This window comes from Homo sapiens, chromosome 3 (assembly GCF_000001405.40).
Source record: "Homo sapiens chromosome 3, GRCh38.p14 Primary Assembly".
In the NCBI taxonomy this organism is placed as follows: Eukaryota; Metazoa; Chordata; class Mammalia; order Primates; family Hominidae; genus Homo; species Homo sapiens.
The window spans coordinates 144,253,701-144,276,541 of NC_000003.12; the positions used below are offsets into that span (position 1 = coordinate 144,253,701).

The 22,841-nt window shown below is 36.2% G+C and overlaps 1 long non-coding RNA gene across 2 annotated transcripts in view, besides 2 other annotated features; it reads left to right on the top strand.

Annotated features, from left to right (window-relative positions):
* LOC105374140 (uncharacterized) overlaps positions 1 to 22,841 on the top strand; it is a 266,957-nt gene that overhangs the window by 35,707 nt on the left and 208,409 nt on the right. Inside the window, exon 3 of one of the 2 annotated variants that reach the window (XR_001740941.2) lies at positions 16,547 to 16,649. The exons of the other annotated variant lie outside the window; for it this stretch is intronic. This is a non-coding gene — a long non-coding RNA (uncharacterized LOC105374140). The remainder of the gene's footprint in view (positions 1 to 16,546; positions 16,650 to 22,841) is intronic. 2 annotated transcript variants of the gene reach the window in all.
* Positions 16,482 to 16,561: an enhancer, noted in NCBI's record as "active region_20666". NCBI's record gives its function as "activates an Ori minimal core promoter by ATAC-STARR-seq in GM12878 lymphoblastoid cells {active_cell/tissue: GM12878}" and the evidence as "EXISTENCE:reporter gene assay evidence [ECO:0000049][PMID:35858748]".
* Positions 16,612 to 16,761: an enhancer, noted in NCBI's record as "active region_20667". NCBI's record gives its function as "activates an Ori minimal core promoter by ATAC-STARR-seq in GM12878 lymphoblastoid cells {active_cell/tissue: GM12878}" and the evidence as "EXISTENCE:reporter gene assay evidence [ECO:0000049][PMID:35858748]".

Below are 22,841 nucleotides of genomic sequence, written 5' to 3' on the forward strand. Positions count from 1 at the left end.
AAAAATTTTTATGTGTACATAGTAGGTGTATATGTTTATGGAGTACATGAGATATTTTGATACAGGCACAATTTTTTTGTGCCCATTAACCATGCCCACCTTCCCCACCCCTACTATCCTTCCCAGCCTCCAGTAACCATTCTTCTACTCTCTATGTCCATGAGTTCAATTGTTTTGAGTTTCAGATCCCACAAATAAGTGAGAACATGCAAAGTTTGTCCTTCTGTGCCTAGCTTGTTTCACCTAACACAATGACCTCTGGTTCCATCCATATTGTTGCAAATGACTGGATTTCATTATTTTTTTATGTCTAAATAGCACTCCGTTGTGTATACATACCACATTTCTTTATCCATTTGTCCATTGATGGACACTTAGGTTGCTTCCAAATCTTGGCTATTGTGAACAGTGCTGCAACAAACATGGGAGTGCAGATATCTCTTTGATATACTGATTTCCTTTATTTTTGGTATATACTTAGCAGTGGGATTGTTGAATTATATGGTAGTTCTATTTTTAGTTTTTCAAGGAACCTCCAAAGTGTTCTCCATAGTGGTTTTGCTAGTGTAGATTTCCACCAAGAGTGTATGAGAATTCGCTTTTCTCCACATCTTCAGCATCATTAGTTATTGTCTGTCTTCAGGATAAAAGTCATTTTAGATGAGTGAGATTTTATCTCATTTTAGTTTTGATTTGCATTTCTCTGGTGATCAGTAACATTGAGCACCTTTTCATATACCTGCTTGCCATTTGTGTGTCTTGTTTTGAGAAATGTCTGTCAGACCTTTTACCCATTTTTTTTTTCATTCAGTTGTTAGATTTTTTTTCCTACTGAGTTGTTTGAGCCTCTTACATATTCAGGTTATGATCCCCTTGTCAGATGCATAGTTTGCAAATATTTTCTCCCATTCTGTGGACTGTCTCTTTACTTCATTGATTGTTACTTTGCTATGCAGAAACTTTTAAGCTTGATATGATTCCCTTTGTCCATTTTTGCTGTGGTTGCCTGTGCTTGTGGGTTATTACACAAAAAAACTTTGCCAAGTCCAGTGTTCTAGGGAGTTTCTCCAATGTTTTCTTGTAGTAGTTTCATAGTTTCAGGTCTTAGATTTAAGTCTTTAATCCATTTTGATTTTACTTTTTGCATATGTTGAGAGATAGGGGTCTAGGTTCATTCTTCTGCATATGCATATCTATTTTTTCTCAGCACCATTTATTGAAAGGACTGCCCTTTCCCCAGTTTATGTTTATTTTATGGAAAATGAGTTCACTGTAGATTTATAGATCTGTTTCTGGGTTCTCTACTCTGTTCCATTTGTCTGTGTGCCTGTTTTTATGCTGGTATTGTTTCATTTTGGTTACCACAGCTCTGTAGTATAATTTGAAGTCAGGTAATTTGATTCCTTCAGTTTTGTTCTTTTTGCTGAGGACAGCTTTGGCTATTCTGGGTCTTTTGTGGTTCCATATAAATTTTCAGATTTTTTTTTTATTTCTAGAAAGAATGTCATTGGTATTTTGATAGAGACTACTTGGAATCTGTAGCTTGCTTTCGTTAGTATGGAAATTTTAACAATATTAAATCTTCCAATCCATGAACATAAAATAGCTTTCAATTTTTTGTATCCTTTAAAATTTCTTTCATCAATGTTTTATAGTTTTTAGCTTTCCATTTATGATTTTGTTCTATTCTGCTCTTTAGTCCATTTGCTAATTTCACTTTTGATAAATATACTTTAAAAATTTAACATTTCTAATTGTTCTCTTTTCTTGAGTACACTATCTTCTCAACTCTCTCTGAAGATATCAATTACCTTTTTCTTTTTTTTAAAGTATTCTGTTGTTATGTATCTTTGCAACTTTTCAGGGAGCAGTGTTCTTGTGTCTGCTGTTTTGTTTGCGCTTGTCTTTCATTGTGTTATTTTTCCTGAGCCACGTGGTGACTCTCAATCGCCTGTTTCTTTTTGTATTTGAGACCCTCTATTCCTCAGCTGATGGAAGCTCTTCTGATTCCCAGTGGTTGTCTACAGTGAATGTGGTGTTTGTCAGGTGAGAGCTATGATGTGTGGGTTTTACCCATAGCTTGCCTTCTGGTAGTTTAAAACTAAGTGTGATACTCTCATCCTTACTGCTTTGCTTTATGAACATGTGCTTTTGCTACCTGTTGCTCAACACAAATGTGGAAGGAGAGAGATGCCAAGCAGCACATTTACTTCTATACTTCCCATTTCCAATAATTGTCCTGCATCCCTCTTAAGAATCCCTGACAATAGTACCACAAAGTCTGAGATATCCTTGGGGCCAGCCTCACAGTCCCCATCTGCATGTGGTTGAGCCGTGGTTTCTTTCCCCAACTTTATCTTGTTTTCTATTTTTCACAGATTTATCCAAATTTCTGATTCACTATTGACAATATTTCTTGTTTAGTCATGCTATTATGGATTTTTGAAATATGAGCTTATTTAAGTATGTAGCTAGTTATATATTCAGAGGAAGTTGAATAGGCTCAGTCAGCAACTTTAATCGTTTCCTTCTCTTTTAGTATTACTGTAATGTTCAGAGATATAAAAGATTGTGGTTACAGATAGTATCCTTTGTCTATCCTTCTTCTTTTAAGGATTCTGGTCTATTTTGACTAATCTTTAATTAAGATTTATTTTAGGACACTAATGGAAATATAGTTCATTATAAAGAATTACTATTGAATTAAACAGAGCTGTTCTCCATTCAAATAAGAGTAACTTCTAATTTTCTTAAGAAACTTCTAATTTTCTTAAGGATTTCTTCAAATCCTCAAACAATATTTTAGAATGCAGCACAAGCAAATTTAAGAAGCCAAATCTCAGTTTCATTAACAATTGACAAAATACCCACAATTACTAGCAATAGGAGAAAAAATATAGGCTATAGTAATTTCTCACCTAATTGACCTAAATTGACCATCTCTTTGATAAGTGATTTTCCTCTTTGGAGTTAAGCAGTGAAACAGTTTTCCCTTTTATCTCATCCTGATAAAGCAGAGTGACATGCAATTTAGTAGAACCAGTTCTAAGTTACACTGGCACTATGGAAGGCTGGTGGGCTGGCTCCCGTGATGTTTCTGGTAGCTAGACTTACAGAAGATTAAAATGAACATGGCTCTAAAAATATTGTGCTGATACTTTCAGTTTCTCTAATGCTGTATTCAGAAATTCAGTCCATTCTTGGATCCAAATATTTTGTTGAGAGACAAGGTATTTTTGACTTTTTTGTATTAATCTTCAAAAAATCCAGTCCAGGTGGAAATACTTAAGAAATTAAGCAGGGAAATACAGCAACTTAATCCTTGGGTTTCCTGCCAGAAATAACATACTAATGCAAAGAAAAGATGATTAAGTAGAAGGAAATGCCTCTGTTAGTGAATGTCCTTAATCAAAGCTATTGGGATTATTAACTGTATTAATTTATCTCACAACTTGATAATTTTTGTTTCTGAGGTGATGAAGCACACTGTGATTTTCTTAGTTCTATGAGGTATATGAACACAATTAGCTGTATTAGTAGCTTCTTTCTTGACTCAAAACAACTGGCAAATTTCAAAGAAAGGAAAGTAGGGAAGGGGAAAATAATATTAATAGACCTTGGATGCTGAAGGACCATTCAGTCATTGTCAGGCCAAAGCATCACAGGAGGGACCTGCACTGGAGGTTATCAGTAGGGATCTGGCCACAGAGAACAGAATCCAGAAGAGAGAGCTTTGGCAGGCCTTACAAATAAAAGGTGGCTCTTTGAAAAATAGACAAAAAGGAATATACAGTCACTGTGGAGGAATCTGGACTCAAATATTTGATGAATATGATGACGATCCCACATAAAAGGAAACCAAAAAGACTAATTAGTTCCAAGATGATGGGAGCTGGTCCAATTCCATTCCAAGCTTGCATTTACAAAACAAGCGCAGTCATAAAATTATGACTTCTGCCTTCTACTTCCTTAAACCCAAAAAGAGCAGAAAAAGACAATATCACAAAAACTGTTTTATCATACTTTCACTTTCCTGATACATCATTCTTTTTATTCTATGTGTCCTGCAGCTTAGCTGGGCTGCAAGCAAAGCGTCTAGGAATTAAGACATCCTGGGCTGAAAAATTCAGGTTAAGTTTGAGCTGATTCTCTCCTTCCTCTCTCTCCTTCCTTCTTCCAAAAGTCTTCCCACTATGTGCTGATCCTCTGTCTTGCTACCAAAGATGTAAAAGAAATAGAGATTAAACAGAGTGAAAGGGAGAGACAGATACCAAGGGAAGACACAGTGAATGGGAAAGAAGGGGAAGGACAAAGAAGTGGAAAGTTAAGAAAGAGCAAAAAAAAGCAAGAGAAGAGGCAGTTGGTGAGCATAACATTTTGGTCTAATGAAATTAAATATTGGGCAAAAGCTTTAGAGGAAACATATTTATTAAAGAAAGGATAAATAAGTATTTGGTGAAGAGTGGGTAATATATATAATGAGAAAATCAGGTAAGATGAGGAGACTACAAAAGGAAAAAGCCTATTTTGAAACATTTTCCAATGTCGATCCCATTTTTGGGTCATTCCCACCTTTTACTGCAGAATGTACAACATCTCCAAACCATTTTCTTGAGTTTGTATGCCTTGTTCTTGATAAATGTTTGATGAATGAATGGAGCATTAGAAAAAGTTGATATTCTCTAAATTCAGGTTTAAAATTTAAGCCTCCAAAGTTAATATCTATGTCTTAGTCATATTAGTAGATGAGTGAAGGGATAGAAATGGGGAGAGAGGGAAGATGTGAAAAGTATCCAGAATGTTTCTGTGTCTACATGCAGATATTGAATCTCTTAGTGTATGAAATCTATGATAATATTAAAATGTTTATGAGTAACCCAGAGTTAGTTCTACATGCTTCCAAGTATTTCAGAGCTTTGAAATCCATTTGTTCTCTCATCAGTGGAGATAATATCTCCTCCTCATCTCAGAGATACACAAGAGTAGTTTGGAACAGATGAAAACCAATCCCAGCCTAATGATAAGCATGTGAGATGGATTATATCTGTCTTCTATGCTCCAAGATGGTTACTGATTAGACATAATCTTTGGAAATGAAAATGAAACGAAGATTTTAATATATATTGAAAAAAAGTAGATGAGCAGATCTCTGCTTGGACAGCAACTGTCTAAGCAATAAAGATTATAGCCTAACTCAGCAGTTTTTTAAGTGTGTTTTCTCCTTTTTTGGAATGATAATAATCACCAGTGCGATGTTTTTGACTTTTTTCCCTAGAGTAATGATGTAGTCGCTAATCATCCCATTAACTGAAATTACTTTTAGTATTGGCTGGAAGGTAGCAAGATGCTCAAATGGTTAAAAATAAATATTTTTTAAAAGAATAAATGAAGAAGAAAGGGGAAAATGTGAACAAGGAGCTGTTTGTAATAAGGAATACAGTAAAAATACATTCTGAGAGCGAGATTTTGAATTTTCTTCAAGGGAATAATAGATAGTTTTTGTTTTTTTTTTGTCTAAAACACTGCTCTGTTTAGCTTTCTTCATTTTGCCAAAATGCTTTGAGGGGATCACCTATTTGTTAGCCTCAGGAATCTTCTGCTTTTCATAGTAACATCCAATAACAGAGCAACGTCTAGACAACATATTATGCACAGAATGTTGAAAGTGAGGAGAATCAGTCTTGAGTGTACTCAGGTTAGGAGAGGAAACTGGATTTAGTTGCTAGGATAACAAACCACACAGGCCTCTGAGGGTCAGTGCATTCATGAGTGTGTTCATGTGATGCGAGTGGGTTTATGTGCTCAACTTGCACAGGATTAACCACACATCAATTCAGAGTATGACCTGAAGGTAAACATTGACATTGGCTTTTTTTGAATGTGTGAGATCATTCACTTCATCCATACTACATGTGTTCTGTTTCAAGTTAATTTGGTTTGCTGATGAAAGGTCATTGAAGTCAGAAATATATGTGCAACACGATTGGAAAGATCTGCTGCTGGATTTCTTTAAGACTAAAAATTACTGGAATGATGAAATTTGTTTCAAGTAACAACACAACTCTCACTTATATAGGCCACACAACATCTCACTTATATCCAAGTTGCTTAAATGACACATTCTACTGATCAAGGAATAGTCAATAAGCTAAAGGTAAGGGTTACAAAGTCTTCTGATCAACCAAAATATTATGGTCTTTGACAAAACAAAAAACTAACAGACAAAAAAACCTTCTTATATAGCATCTATTTATTCTTTAAGTTTACTTTTACCAGTTTTTTTTTAATCTGGTTTCTTAGATTACAGCAGATCAAAAGTAACCAATTAGAAAGAGAATGGTTTGTTATACTTTAACAGAGTCAAGAAAGATGCCCATATAGTAAAGGAAATATTACAACTTGGCCTGTATGGTGATTTGAAAAAAAAAAAAACTACTATTAGAGAAGGCCTGAAATTTTCTTTTTTTGTTGTGTCTCTGCGCGTTTTGGTATCAGGATGATGCTCGCCTCATAAAATGAGTTAGGGAGGAGTCCTTCTTTTTCTATTTTTGGAATAGTTTCAGAAGGAATGGTACCAGCTCCTCTTTGTACCTCTGGTAGAATTCGGCTGTGAATCCGTCTGGTCCTGGGGTTTTTTTGGTTGTTAGGCTATTTATTGCTGCCTCAATTTCAGAACTTGTTATTGGTCTATTCAGGGATTTGACTTCTTCCTTGTTTAGCCATGGGAGGTGTATGTGTCCAGGAATATATCCATTTCTTCTAGATTTTCTAGTTTATTTGCGTAGAGGTGTTTATAGTATTCTCTGATGGTAGTTTGTATTTTTGTGGGATCAGTGGTGATATCCCCTTTATCGTTTTTTATCGTGTCTATTTGATTTTTCTCTCTTTTCTTCTTCTTAGTCTGGCTAGTGGTCTATCTATTTTGTTAATTTTTTCAAAAAACCAGCTCCTGGATTCATCGATTTTTTGAAGGATTTTTTGTGTCTCTATCTCCTTCAGTTCTGCTCTGATCTTAGTTATTTCTTGTCTTCTGCTAGCTTTCGAATTTGTTTGCTCATGTTTCTCTAGTGTTTTAATTGTGATGTTAGGGTATCGATTTTCAATCTTTCCCACTTTCTCCTGTGGGTATTTAGTGCTGTAAATTTCCCTCTAAACACTGCTTTAGCTGTGTCCCAGAGATTCTGGTATGTTGTGTCTTTGTTCTCATTGGTTTCAAAGAACTTACTTATTTCTGCCTTAATTTCGTTATTTACCCAGTAGTCATTCAGGAGCAGGTTGTTCAGTTTCCATGTAGTTGTGCTGTTTTGAGTGCGAAAATCCTTAAAACAACATTGCTTTGCTTTCCAGGGATATATAGTGTAAAGGCATCTAACTCTACTCTCTTCAATGGCCTCTAACATGTCAATGTAGAAAAATTGATGACAAAGACCTTAAAAAATAAAAAGACAAGAAAATTTATGTTTTAGAAGGTAGGAAAGTGTGTAATATAAACATATTACACATTTAGCTATTTAAACAAATGGCTGAAAAAGCATTGGTGCTTATTGGGGTCAGACTCTGTATAAGAAATATGACAGATTACCTCTTAATGTTGAGTAAATAAGGATTTGCTACATATATGTATGACTTACTGTGTCTTTATGAAAATATATATCCTGAGGGAGGAGCTGTTTACATTAAATATTAAATTCATTCTCTTTACAACAATTTTTCTGCTTTCCAGAGCTAAGAATTTTGGAAATAATCTTTCTGGGTCGTATGCTTGGGAAGGTAAATTTGTCTTTAGAGCAGAGCCAATTACACCTTTGTATGTGGGTTTGCAGTTTCTAAAACACAAGCCAGGAAGTTCTATGAGGCAGAAGCCAAACTGGTGAGAATTTTCTGTATCACATTTCCCTTGACTTCCTTGCTCATATAATTTCTTTTCCAAATATGAAACTCAGTTGCACATTCCAAATTCTTCTCAAGGCAATAAACAATTGATCTTTGGCCAGTGACAAGGGAACAATGAAGTTAAAGTAATGGGACAAAGATAATGGGAAGAAGGTTGAAAAAGTTTCATGTAGCTATAAAATTGTTCAAGAATATAATCACTTTTTGGCTATCCCAGAACACAAAAACCCTTCCTGCCAGTTTGGTCTGGCTCTTTTGTACCTGGCTGGTCCTTTCTGAAAGGGCAAGATTTCTCTTAAGACATTGGAATGACTCCCTTTATTCCATGATCATATTTGTTAGTATTGCTCTTAGTTTTCCATGTCTAACTTCAAGAACACATTTCCAGAAAAATTTGATGAGTTCTCTTTTTTCTTAAATGAAAATATAATTTTTCTGCAAGTATTATGTTGGTCGATAAATAAAATAAAAAATCGATATGTACTTAAGAAAGAGTTTCATGGCACTATCATTCCCTGGGGTCTCTGGCCTACCTCCTCTACACAGGGCCTATGTGGGAAACACTATTGACAGATTCTCCAAACAGAGAAGGTGATTAGGTTGGGCAGTTCAAAATTCTTTAAACTGAATAACTAATTGCAGTTATCAAGCATTCTCATAATATATATCTGCTGAAAGGCAGACGTAACCTGAGCCAGGTTTCTATCTCTTCTAAGTTGTAAGTAATCACATGTATTTCACTATTGGCAATAGTTTATCTTTCATTAAAGGTCACATGTTGCGCTAATTTATTTGAAGAACCTTAATAGGCTTATTTTTTATTCATTCTGAAAGATCTTTGGTTTTAAGTAGCCACTTTGGTTTCAAGTAGCTTCAAAAGATAGACGTGTAAATTGTACCTCCACCTTTGCTCGTGTGTAGCATGCAAAATAATATTGCTTACTTTAACATGCTTAACAAAGAAATATTTTTGACTCAGACTTGGTTTGGTGATGATGCTTGATATCCAAATTCCTGCTTATGAAAATTAACTTTTAGCTTTTGAAGTTCTTGAGTGATGAGCACTTCTTGAAGTTATTACAATCTTCTGGAATTCTAAGGCTACTTAGGTTATATCTTTCTCCTCAATCCACTAGTGTAATAATGCAGGTGATGATATGAGACCCTAACATGCCTGCCCCTCAAAGCCTTTGCATCGAAGAGGTGGGGAATCATCTTATAATTTTATAGCTGATTATATTCTCCATGTAATAATCATGAGAGAGGCAGATATGAATGTGAATAAGTTGACCTTTTGGCTAGAACCCGTGATATTATAGCATTTTATTTTTTAATCTTTTTCCTATAAAATGACAACTTTCTGTGTTACTCAGACTAAAATGTAGATTTTATTCACTGAGTGAAAATAAGACCTAAGAAAGGGAGAACCTAAACTGAACCCCATAAATAATTGCACAGTTAAAATGGACCTCATAAAAGCTGGCAATATTTTGACATGGTGATAACTATTCATGCATACATCATGTCTCGTGATAACAAAACTAAATTTCAATAAAAACCTTATAATTTAAATACATTCGCCTTTCCACACACAATGTTACTGAAGTCTTATTGTATTTCATAACTAAGCTCCTAGACATTTCAAAGATGCTCAAGAAGCTTGTGTGTCTGGCCCAAGTCAAACGTTAGTGGAACCTGATTCATCAATTATTTAGGTATCTTTGAAGGATTCCTCTTGAAAGGAAACATTTTTGTAAACAGATGTTAATAATAGCACAATTTATTTAAGATGTTTTGGTAAAAACAACAAATAATATGATCCTGGGAATTGACAGGCTTGTATTGAACAGTGTGTTTACTTTGGAAAGCTCACAATGGATACACAAGCATTTAACACGACACTTTAGCATGTTTTCAATATTTGTTTATTTTATATTCTAAGCCATTTTACTGACTATCCTAGAAAGGCTTACGTGAAGTTTTAGCTTTTATTTATTTTCTCCTTTGGGGCAAAGCTTCCTGGTAAAACTAGCTGGAATAATTCTTCAACTAAAAGAAAGGAAGAATGTTGCATTCAAATATTATGCCATTCTGTCATCTGTTCCATCATTTCCATTGCTGTTGTTTGAGTTTGTTGTCTATGGCTGCTTAAAAGAAAAAGGAAAAAGAAAAAAGAGAGAAAGAAAAAAAAAGCAAAAAAAAAAAGAGTTTACTGTATGTTTCTGCCTGTAGCCTTAAACAGACATCTGGTTTACATTTTCTGTGTGTTTCAGAATGTTACTGGCTCTTGAAAACATGGCAGAAGAAATAAACCTGGAAAAAAAAATTAGAAAGGCTGTTTCAGAATGAGACTAAGGAGGAATAATGAGGCTGCAACAAGATCAGAAACTAGAATGACCTACTTCTTTCAAGGAGATAAGAAAGTCTAACTTTCCCCTCCCCAAAGGAACCTATGCATGTAAGCAACATGTTCTTCAGGGGCAGGGCCCACACATGTGCCATTCTCCTGCATCAGAATGAATCCATCAGGACAAACACCTTCTGTTTTGTCAGCCACTCCTATTCTGGTATGCTATTTTCTCACTGCCTTCTATAGTTAGCCCTAAGAAGAAGAGAGGACGATCTGGAGAAACCTGAGGCATATATAAGTTTAAGGAAAAACAAAACCAGAAAACGGTGTTTACTCTTTAAAAAAAATCTTCTTACCTTACTTAACCTCTTTACCTTTCTAATCATCCCCAAATCTAGTTAATGCTGTGATGTTGTGCTATTAGGAAGTAGTAGAAAAGCATTTCCAATTTAGAAGGCATAGGTCTGGGCGGGAAAAAGTCAGTGGAAAACAGTACTTTTGGAGAAAAAAGTGTGTTGACACTGGGTGAGGGCTGGAAGAATCAAACCATGACAAGGAGAAAACATGTAGCATCTGCTGTTTCTGAACAAAAATCTCTTTTTGCGAAGGACCTGATAATGCTCTAAATTGCTTTAATGAGTCATACTATTCATTTATCCCAAATTTTGAGCAGCACGCAACTCAGTAAAATCTCAACACAGGGCTACATTGCTTATTTATTTTCTTTCAAGAAGTGCTTCTACTCAGCAATGCACTCAAGTTCCCAAAGGTTAGCTATATTTGGCTTAGCATAATCTATATAATTTCAGCGCCACAATTAATGAGCAGTCTTTTGCAGTCTCCTCCAGGAATTTGAATGTAGACATAATAACTTGTCTGATATTTTTTAAATAATGACTTATTTTGTTCTGTTTCCTGACCTGAAAAACATGACTGGTCAAGAAAATAAGTTTTGTCCATCAGAGCTTTAAGTGATTTAGTCTGCCCACTTTGAGCCATAAATTGGTGGAGACAGAGAAATGAAACCGGTCCCTTTATATGCTGGGGCTCCTAAAATGATTCATTCTGATGAAAAGATCTTGAGTCCAGTAGGTCTGGTTTTCTTTTTTACAAGGCTTATGAATAATGCTTTAGAAACTGGTTAAGCAGTGCCTTCAGTTCCAGTTTGGACCATGTTATTTTAATTTTCTTTATATCTTTATAAGAACAATAAATACAAACCTTACTTTCATTATCTCATTTTGCACTATCAGGATTGTTCATTCTGTATTTGGGAATAGCATCTCTGTTTCCCCCCATATTCTGCCTTCTTCCTCTTCCTTGCTCCAGTTTCTTCTTATTTTTTGTTACGATGATGACTGAAAACCTCGGTTCATATTTCAATTCTACTACTTTCTATGTGTTCTCAGGCAAAGATATGCCTCCATTTCCTCATCTGTACAAAGGAAATAACAATAGGATCTCTTCTTAAAAGGTTATTATGGGGTTAAAGAATTTGACACACATATAGGACTTAGAATAACGTGTGACCCATTGTAAAGTTTGGCGGTTATCAGTGGGAATGTGTAGGTGGAAAGTATTCGTGGAGCTTTTAAATGATGGGGTTAAATGAAAGAGCCCTACCAATTTTATTTTTACAATACCAAAATTTTATTCATGGGAAGAGATTTTTAGGTGCTCTTATTGAGCTACTCAAGGCTTCTTTTGTGGAAGTACAGAATACAAGATGCTTTGGCCAAGGAAAATCCACCAGTAGCCAAATAAACAGTGTGCAATAACAATAAAAGGGGAAGTGGTGTGCTCATGAGTTGAAGACCAGCCAGTAATTTAGTACAATCTTTCTTGAGGCCAATTTGGCAAAATGTCTCAAAAGACTTCAAATTTGCATGCTTTTTGACATAGTAATTTCACCTTCGGGTATTTTTCCCGAGGACATAACTAAGGATGTGGGAAAGACTGTGCTCCAAGAATACTCACTAGAGCACTCTTTGAAAAAATAAAATTTGGGAATTACCTAACACTCAGTTGGTTGTGCTTTCAAACAACGAACCACTGTGCTGGGGGAAAACAAGCATATTTTTTAACATGGAAACATGATCATAATATCTTAGTAAATAACTACAACTTCAAATACATAACAGTTTAGTCTCATGTAGTATGATGGAGAGGGGAGTTTAAGGGATTGATTATTCCCCCAGTTGTTAGAGTGGTCCTCTTTGGGTGGGTAGAATTGGGTATGGTTTTAATTTTTTTCAATAATAGGTATTCATTATTTAATTATTTTTCCAATAATAGACAGATATTGTTTTTTCAGTTTTAACTGAGCTGTCAAATGTAAAGTGAAATGCTCAAAGAGATTTAATCTGACATTTGATTTTTAAAAGTTCTAAGAAACACTCTCTCTGAGTACACATTGTACGCATGTATTGGCTTTCAGAGACCTAAGTTTCATCCTTCGTTCTACAACTGACTGTTGAACAAAATTTTATTATAAAATTACAAGCAGTTCAATTCTTTGTTTTCTTAGCTGTGAGATAGCTAGAGTGATGATAAAGCCATAAGGCTGTATGGATCACATAAAATCATGGATTTGAAAGTAATTTGAAGATTGTAGAAGTATCGTTTGAAACTAATTAATCTGGAAGAGCAATTAACTCTGCTGAAGAGAGGGATAAATTATTATTGAACAGACAAAATAATGTGATTCCTTTGCAGTTCATCTTCTGCAGGACTATCACTTCCCAGGATTCTTCACAGAATACCTGATCAGTGCTTGAAATAGGTACTGAAGTGTCCAATTATTTAATAAACTGTTAACTGTTGGCTAACAGTAAAGTCAATGTTTAGTTTTTTTAAAATACAAAAATAATCAGGGCAAGGAAAAAGTCAAGAATTCTCTAAGTATAGGTTTAGCAACTTACTCATATACTATTGAAAAAAATATGTCATAAGAGAAAACTCTTATCAGTGAAACCTCCTACATGCCTTGACATGGAGCTGTAATTACATTATGAAAGATAACTGGCTAACTTCAGGGCAAACCCTCTGCCAGAATTAAAGATGATATAATAGATGCTTTATTAAAAAACTAAAATATAATTATTTTTTGCATTAAGAATAAGTGAAAATGTAGCTTAATAATAACAGCTAAAATATATTTACTACTTGCTTCTCAGTACTTCTATTTTCAAGTAAATTCTTCTATTCCCAAGTAAATTCTTCTATGTAACAAGAATTATGCCAAGTAACTTGCTTGTGTTATCTTAATCAGTGGTTCTCAAAGTCTGTTTTTTAGACCAGCAGCATCAGCATCACCTGGGAAACTGATAAAGACACAAATCCTAGGGCCCACCCACAGCCCTCCTGCATCAGAAACTCTAGAGGTGGGACCCAGTAATCAGTGGTTCAACTATCCCTTCAGGAAATCCTTATGTGTGCTCAGTTTGAAAACCACTGATCTAAATTAATCCTCATTATAATCTAATAAGGCTATTGTTACGATCCCTATTTGATGAAATTAAAGCTTATAGAGAAACTACCTCCACACAGTCCTAAGCTTAAACCATTTCTATTAGCACCAAAAGTTCAATACCCTCTACCCTTCCTTTAATTTGACACCTTTTTAAAACATCGGTTTTCCCTGGGCATGATAGGGATTGCGAAGGGGAAACTTGAGCTACCCATAGAGATCACCAAAATGGTGGCCATAGGTCATCTACTAGTGTTGCCAGAAGCAGATATCAAAAATATTGTTAAATATTTAAAGGTTTGATTTTATTTGGGGGGAAGGGCAGATTAGATTTTTTTTTTTTTTTTTTTTTTTTTGAGATGGAGTCTCACTCTGTCACCCAGGCTGAACTGCACTGGCACGATCTCAGCTCACTGCAACCTCTGCCTCCTGGGTTCAAACGATTGTCCTGCGTCAGCCTCCTGAGTAGCTGCGATTACAGACATGTGCCACCACACCTGGCTAATTTTTGCATTTTTGGTAGAGATGAGGTTTCACCATGTTGGTCAGGCTGGTCTCGAACTCATGACCTCGTGATCTGCGTGCTTTGGCCTCCCAACGTGCTGGGATTACAGGTTTGAGCCACCGTGCCTGGCCCAATATTTTTATTTGAAAAAGGCTTCATTGAGGAGGCTATATTCATTTCATGATGGGTGTCTTTCAGTTATTAGAAATGTAAAAAGCTTGAAATCGAATGGAAAAAAATCCTTTATCTTTTAGAATTAAAAAAAATCAGTTTCTCATCTCTCTCATGGTCCTTTTTACAAAGAACAACTCAGAATGCCTTTGGTATTTCTTGTGGCCCACCTAATAGCCATTTTTTTTCTTTCTCTTTCTTAACACAGCTTTGCTTTTATTCAGTTACTTTCTCTGTGCGGGCAGCTGTTTGAGGTATCACAAGCCTTAATTCCAGAGGTTAATCATGATTGATACAGCACTAACTATGGCCTAGGGTCACCTGGGGAACTCAGGCACATCTAGAACCCAAGCCCCATGCTATTTTAACTAAATTAGAATCTTTGGTGATTGGCACCCTAGTCAGGATTGAGCAGTCAGGATTGGCTGTACCAGTCATGGGGCCTCTTCCCTTACCAGTACTGTGGGTGTACTTGTGCTACAATGCCAGCAATGAGACATTAAGGCATATGTGGTAGAGGGCTTGTTGAATGATTTTTCTCAGTGACATTTCTTAAAAAGAAGTCCATAAGGAGAAATAGTTTGCTTCCTTAGGATGATATTACATTTGCATGTGGTACCTGCAATTGTCACAGTTGTCTTGAAACCATGAAGATGAGTTGATGTGCTATGGATGGCTTAGATGAAGGTTAAGAGTCTGCATTCTTGATGCTGTTGGCCTAGAACCACTTTATCTTCAGATTTATTTTAATGTGTAATAGTTAATACCCTTTGATTTTAAGGTATTTTCAATTTTGCTTTCTGTTACTTGCAGCCAGAAACATGCTCAACTCACCTGCCCTTCAAGTGTATACTAATGGTACCAATTCTGGTTTACTATATGGTTTTATTCAAAGCCTGGGCTGAGGCAACTGATGTTAGAAAGCAATTAGTGGCCAGGCATGGTAGCTCATGCCTGTAATCCTAGCATTTTGGGAGGCCAAGGTGGGTGAATCACTTGAGGTCAGGAGTTCAAAACTAACCTGGCCAACATCGTGAAACTCCGTCTCTACTAAAAATACTATTACTAATACTAATCATCATCATCATAATAATACAAAAAAAATAGCCAGGCATGGTGGTAGGCACCTGTAATCCCAGCTACTCAGGAGGCTGAGGCAGGAGAACTGCATGAACCCAGAGAGTGGAGGTTGCAATGAGCCGAGATTGTGCCACTGCCCTCCAGCCTAAGGAACAGAGCGAGACTTAGTCAAAAACAAAAACAAAAACAAAAACAAGCAAGCAAGCAATTAGGGCAGTTCTCAATTCAGGAGATGGGTGGCGATGGGGTAAATGTATAGTTAGAATCACCTAGGTAGATATTACAAACACACAAATATCCTATCTCAGCGCTTTGGGAAGGGAAGTATATTGGAATCATGAGGTTTGAGAATTGTAGACAAAAGGAGAACTGAGGAAATGTATTTTGAAAAAGCTCCCTAGGTGATTTAGATATATCTCCATAGATTCGCCATTCACTGAGAAATACTAATTTAAGAAGTCAAAATGTAATTTAAACTCCAAATTTCAACTCTTTATTAAGCTAGAACACAAGAAATATCTCGTATATGTTATAGCCTAGGAATAACTATATTGTGTTAAACTGACTTTTCCTTCTGTCAGTCTCCTTTACAGAACCGTGTAAAGGTTATCTTCAATGTGAATATTATCTTCGATATTCACAAATTTGTATGTACTTGGATATAAAGACATACTTTGCATAGCTTTCTCCCTCCTAAAATTTCTGGGATTTTTTGGAAGACTCAAAAATACCTTTACAAGTTCAGTACTCCTGTTGTTTGCTGTGGCACCCAGCAAGCCAGGTCTCCATCGCCAATGCCCTGATAGCAGGGTTGTCACCATTGCTGGGCTGGAGCTCAGTTCCAACTAACTAAGTTACTTCTGGTTCTACTAGAGTGTCACTGTGGCCCACTGCTATTCTTAATCTTTATAATACTGTTGCAGCTCCCCTAGCTTTCACAAATGTAGAGAAGAAGTTTCTGCTCTTTGTTATACTGTTAGGATTTGCCATATCTGAGTGTTTTGGTCACAAAATGCAGAATTCAGTGAAAGAGTCCTTTCAGCTCATATGTATAACACTTCCTTTTGTGTGTCCCTAGAGTTGTTGGCTGAGGACAGATTCTCATGGCCGGAAACCACCACTTCCCTTGGACATGCATGCGTTGGCTGGGTACTGGGAGCCATAATTCGTTTCCTCTTAGAGTAAGTTCTCTTTCAAAGCTCTCATGGCTCTTTCTACAGTCTGGCTTAGGTTGGGCCCTTCTGGCCCATTAGATTGGCTGGTATGTCTGAACATCTGTGGTGTTTGTGGTGGAATGCTTTTTTTGTTTTCCCTCCAGAAGGTTTTCTCATCCCCAATACACATCAGTAGATGCAATCATCCAAATGATAGTAGATGTAAATGTAGGAAATGTAGGATGAACGTATCTAACTTGGGGCACCCAAGACCATTACCGACTCTGTCCTGCCAAGATACCCCACACTCTTACATTTGTAGAATTAGAATATTGTATGCCCATTTCAATGTTGAATGTTTCATATATAGACACTCATGTACATTTTTTCATAAGGCTAGGAATATTTTTGTCATTTTTCTTTTAGCAAGCATTTTTGAATGTTAGCTTACAAGGTACTAGGGTATATGCTGGTGGTGCAAAGATGAATAAGGCACGGGCCATGCCCACAAAAAATTCAGTCTGTAATTAGGGAGGCAGTTAGAGTACTGTTTGAGAAACGTTGTGATAGAGCACTTGAACTTGCTTTTCCTATTGTTTGAAAACCAACTTTCCATTTTCTTTGAGGGGGGGAGGTGGGCAGGGGGAAAGCTCCTGTAGTTCACAGCTCAGCTGAATTTTCATTTCCCTGAAAAGTATTCCAGGAGAAACAAGCCACCACTACCTCTTGCCCTCCATTTTTTTTCCCTCCACATTTTAAACCTTGGATTATATCGTCTTGTTTTATTTTTCTAACAGGACTTGTGTCTGCAATTATCTTGTCTGCATATTTGTAGTATAAACAAATAAACTGTCTTGCGCACTGCTGAGCCCACAGTGTTTGTAAATGTGTTTTGAAGAAAATCATGAATAAAATAACACAGATACCTAGACACCTAGACCCCCCGCCCCCCAGAGGAATTAGAACAGCCTTGATAAAGCTGGAGATGTGGTTTAAACACTGAGATGGAAACAGAAGGGTCTAGGAGTACACGCAGGTAGATAACAGTATATAAAATGCTCTCTGGGGAATCAGGAGGTTCAGTGTTGCAGGCACTGGGACATACGGTGGCTAGCGAAGGGCAGGAGGCTGGCCAAGCATCCAGGAGATGTATTACCACGGAGTGAGGGCTTATGCATGAGCTGAAAGTGGCTACATTTATACTTTAGGAAAGCCAAAAGTTATTTCTCCAACTGAGATTCACAGCATATGGATCAGGAATTGCTTTCTGGGCTGGTTAGGGAAGGAATAAATAGAGATTTGACTCTTAGGGGCAGTTTCGTCTTGTTGCAGGCTGGCATCCAGTGCCACATTTTTGAAGATGTGCTTCATTACTAGCTTGTACTTTGCATCCTTCTCCTCTTTTATGCTGCTTTGGATCCACCCAGAAGCTTGAACATGAGGTTGTCACCATGTCTTACAACTTGATATTTTCACAAGGGTACAGTGCCTGCTTGTTCACCTTTTGGGGAGCAGGGCTGTAGGGGCAGGAAGAGTGCAGGTGAGGGGTTCTTCTTGAGAAATTGAAAACTATACCAGTTATATTTTTCTCTGGTTTGGTTCTTTTCCACCATCCACCGAACTCAAGCAGTGCAGGGGCTATACCCTATTCATCTTCATTCCACCCACATTTAAGAGTGCTTTGCAAATCAGCTCAATAAAGCCGTGTAAATAAATGTTGTGTTTAGAGTTAAGTTTTGCCTTCACCTGTGATAGACTTCTGCATCTGTGTTCTTCCAGGTGTTAGCTAGATTGATTGTCTTTCGTTTGTATAATAGTTGTAGTTTTATTGGATTTGTGCAAACTGCCTTGTCTCTAAAATGAAATCTTAAAAAAAAAAGTTGGTTGACATTTTATTTTCCTTTAGTTCTCTCCTAGATTTTCTCTCCTCAGCATAGGACAGGTGAAAGTAACACTGCCTTCAAAGACAGTCCTGGGGTTGAGTCATGATTCTTGCACATGCTTATGATGGAAAATGGCAAATAATTGCCCCACACTGAACCTTAGTTTTGTCTTCTATAAAATGAGACAATTAACCTGTTGTAGGGGGTTGTGAAGATTTTAAAAAGGTAATATATGAAGAAAGCTTTGCACCCTGTCACATGATAAGCATTCATTAATGTCAGTTTCTAAACTCGGCTTTCTTCCATGAAAATCAAGTTAAAATATCACCTGCAAGTAGTGTGCCAAGTAAAGACTTCATCCTATGGATAACTCTTGCTCTGTGCTTTGGGTATTTTTACTAGAAAGTCCCCCAAAGCTACTTTGATTTCTTTCTTGTTTCAACACTTTGGTGAGTTATGACCATGCCAAATGTCACTGCTGAGAAAGATGAGGCGCATAGAGAGCATAATACCCTCTGAATCTTAAGAACCAAATGTGAGCTGTTGCCTCCAACTTGGTATTTCTACATTGCACATGATCATTAGGTAGGAAAACAGGCATTTTGCTTAAGACTGCAGAAGTTGCAGTGTTTGCTTAATGATTACTACAGCTTGCTTTGTAATTATGATTGCATGGGCAATCCTGTACAATCCCGGGAACTTTTGGAAAGTAATGACAGTAATTTACAGCCATGTGGTTTTGTGTGGATGCTTAAGTACTTGGTCTGTGGCCTGCCTGCATGCTCCATTGACTGCTTGATGGACCCATTCCCCACCTGCGCTACTTCCCCGCCCTCTTTATGGAAACACTGGAAGTGAACACTGAGTTTGTATGAAAGACAAAGGAAAGAGAATGTGTGTTGGGAAAGGGAGACCGAATCTGTAAGACATTCTTTTCACTGTATTCTTACCTTTTCAATTGGCGAAAACAATTCACAGCTTTTATTTTTTTTTTAAAGAAAACTATAGAATATAAAATTAATGCAAGTTAGGCACTTTAGTGGATATCTAGAGTTTCAAATAAACTTGGAAAATTCCTGTAGACTTCAGGTAAACTCCTGTGAATGTTCCCTTTCAACTGTGTATTTTTAGATAATTGACAACTAATTTAAGTAAATTTCCATGGCTTATGGTTACTTATAAGTATGTTTTATTCATGATGACAAGCTCCTTCAAAAATAAAAGCACCGTTCTTGAGTCAAATTCAGATTTTTGAGGAAACACAGGAATGATAAAGGGAAAAGAGGAATTGAGCCTCCAATTTCTGTCTGTTGCTTTTGAAAATGTGCCACATCCTGAAAGAAAATTCTGCTTATGTGTGCCACAGTCTCCAAAAGGAAAATGAAGATGTTGGTTAAATTTTCAATAAGCCAGCCCTAAAGAATTTCCTTTGAAGTTGTTTTATATGCTTCTCCACTGAAAAACTTTAAGATAAGTTATAACTCTGCTTTGTGCTTTGAAAATAAATTCAGCACATTAATTGTATTTATGGGGGAAAGTAGTAAATGTCCCAGAATGAATACACAGCCATAATTTACTCAGATGGAACTGCTACTGCCCATAAACTTCTCCTCCTCGCCTCTTCTGGTTTATGACATCAGCCAGCCTTGCAAATGAATCACTGCTTTGTGCACCCTCATATCCTTGTGGTATGTAAATTTCCACTGAATGCTTATCAAATAGTATTATTACATATTACATATTTTCTTTGCTAATTTTCCAGAAGATTAAATGTAATCTGTATTTTGTAAGGACGGCCTCAGTTATCTGAGCTGCAAATCCATGTAGATTCAGAACTATCTGGGCACCACTGGAAGAATGAGATGGCTGCCAGGGATATCTTTGCATTAGGAATTGAGGGGCCTTATGGGAAAACTTCAACCTGGCAAGAGAGAATTGAGTATGTGGGCTTGGTCTAATACATAGCTATGTCTTTGCTGTCAGATAGGAGAGGTGACTAACGCATTAATTGTGTGTAATGCTAGTCCAATGATCACGTGTCCACTGTTGAGTTTTAGTGGGGATATTGCATCATAAATTAAACAATAAATAATTATATTTTTACACAAAATCTCTTCAACATGTTAGGAGCAAAAGGCATCTTTTCTTTGGGATTAGGATAATAGACATAGCAGTAAAGGATGAGGGAGAGAAACCCTCCACCTTGGCAAGGGAAACGTTTTGGCTTGGGAGAACTGAAGCTCCAGATAACTCATGTGAGGTGCAGTGAGGACTCCAGCACAACAGTGGTGGCAGAGGCTCTTAGCCACATCAGATCAGTATCAGGAGAAAACCAGGGGCTTGAAGGGATGAGAGGAACTCAGCCTTTGGTGTGATCTGCTGGCTTTCCTCCTTCCTGAATAACAGGTGAGGCTACTTCTTGTAACACTAGGAGCAGCTGAGGCCTGAAGAATTAGTGGCTACTGAGAGAAGGGACTGTAAGCCTTCTTGTGCTGGTCCTTAGAGACTTGGAAAGAGAGCAAGTGACTGCAAGTTCTGAAAGGTATCTTCACAAGGCTGGGGATCGAACGACAGAATAATGCTGGTTGTTACTAATCCTAACACTCTTTTTCTGTCTTCAGGCTTGTGTGGTCTGAGAAAATGGAAATAACTTCTTTGTGTACTTCAAAGTAATTGATTTTCCTCCTTATTCAATTAATGTTGTTGATATAAATATATTAGTGAGTAAAAAAGAAAAATCACCAATCCATTATAAAGCCTTCTCTATCCCATTTTGGGGAAATATTTGGTGATAACTTAATTATGTGCTACCAAATAATGTGCATGGTTTTCCAAAGAAATATCATGTGATTGACACATATTCTATATGATCCCCCAAATTTGCATGGATTCTGTCTTCTATGACAAAAGTGTCCACTTTTCTAATGCTTCCTGTGCCACCAGACCTAGAAGATATGGTAAGAAATAAGATCATGTGAATTTTCACCAGCAAAGACAAAATAAACCAAAACAGAAAATCAAAACCACAGATAAAAGAAAAAAAGAGAAACCACAAGAATCTTGTTCACATCTATTTGAAGAGGGTGGAGGCTACAATAACAACACATTTAAAATGCTTTTCAGGCACTTTTTCTGATTTCTCATTGTTTATGCTATTTGACTTCCCATGAGATTATCCTAATTTTTTCTGTCATAAGAATATCAAACAAGGTTGTTTCTGTTTTTGGTGTCACTTACCTGTTTTTTGCATTGAGTGACTCTGAGATATTTGCATCTAACCCACATTGTATTTTTAAATACATAAGATGTTATCTATCGGTTTGAATATTTTCCAAACAAAATTTTAATAAAAGAAAGATTTAAAAAGCAGAAGCCATGTAAACTGTTTTATAAAAGTTAAAAAAATAGCAAAGGAAACACATACACACAAACATGCCATCAAGTGCCACCACTAGCCAGTTCTTATCCCATTAACATAGTTCTTTAATAATTTAAAAATAAATGATGATAAAGGAAGCATAAAACCTGTGAGAAGAGGTTACAGTGAATCTACAGAGATTCCTAATATACATATTAGGAAAATGAATAAAAAATGCTCAATTCAAGAAGGTATAACAGCAAAATAAATTCAAGGAAGGTAGAAAGAAATTATTAAACCTAAAAGTTTAAGTTAAAGAAACAGAAAACTTTTTAGAAATGTTAAAAATCAGAACCTGGCCCTTTAAAAGTAATTGATTTATGACAAGTTTGATAGAAAAATTAGAGAATGAGCAATAGCTGCAGAAACTGAAGCAATTAAATATTATAAAATAATTATATGAAATGCTTTATGCAGGAAATTTGAAAACTTAAATTAAACAATTTAGTTAACATTAACTGAAAAACGTCAAAACATCCAGATAGACTAATACTATTGAAAATTATTGTTGATGCTAGTGCAAATTAATACTCCTAGAAAGGTCTAACAAAACTGTAAGGGCTATACCATTTCCATATTAGATAAAAATTTTCAGAAATAAAAATAATGAAAAATTCCAAACTCAACCAACTCAACCAATGAGTTTTGACTTATCTGGATACCAAATCCTAATGAAAATAATATAGAAAGGATACTATCTTTAGGTATTCAAATTGTTATTTTTTTTAATTTAGTTTGTACTTAAAAACTAATTACCCAGTTTGCAAGATACTATGAAATGCTAAATTTACCTGTTATACTTAAAATGTGATTTAGTTTTCAAAAACCTTATGTGCATACTTTTCCAAAATATGCCTGATTTGGAAACATGTTTTATTAAGGAAAAATATCTAGTGGGGGAAGGGGAACTTGAAAGCA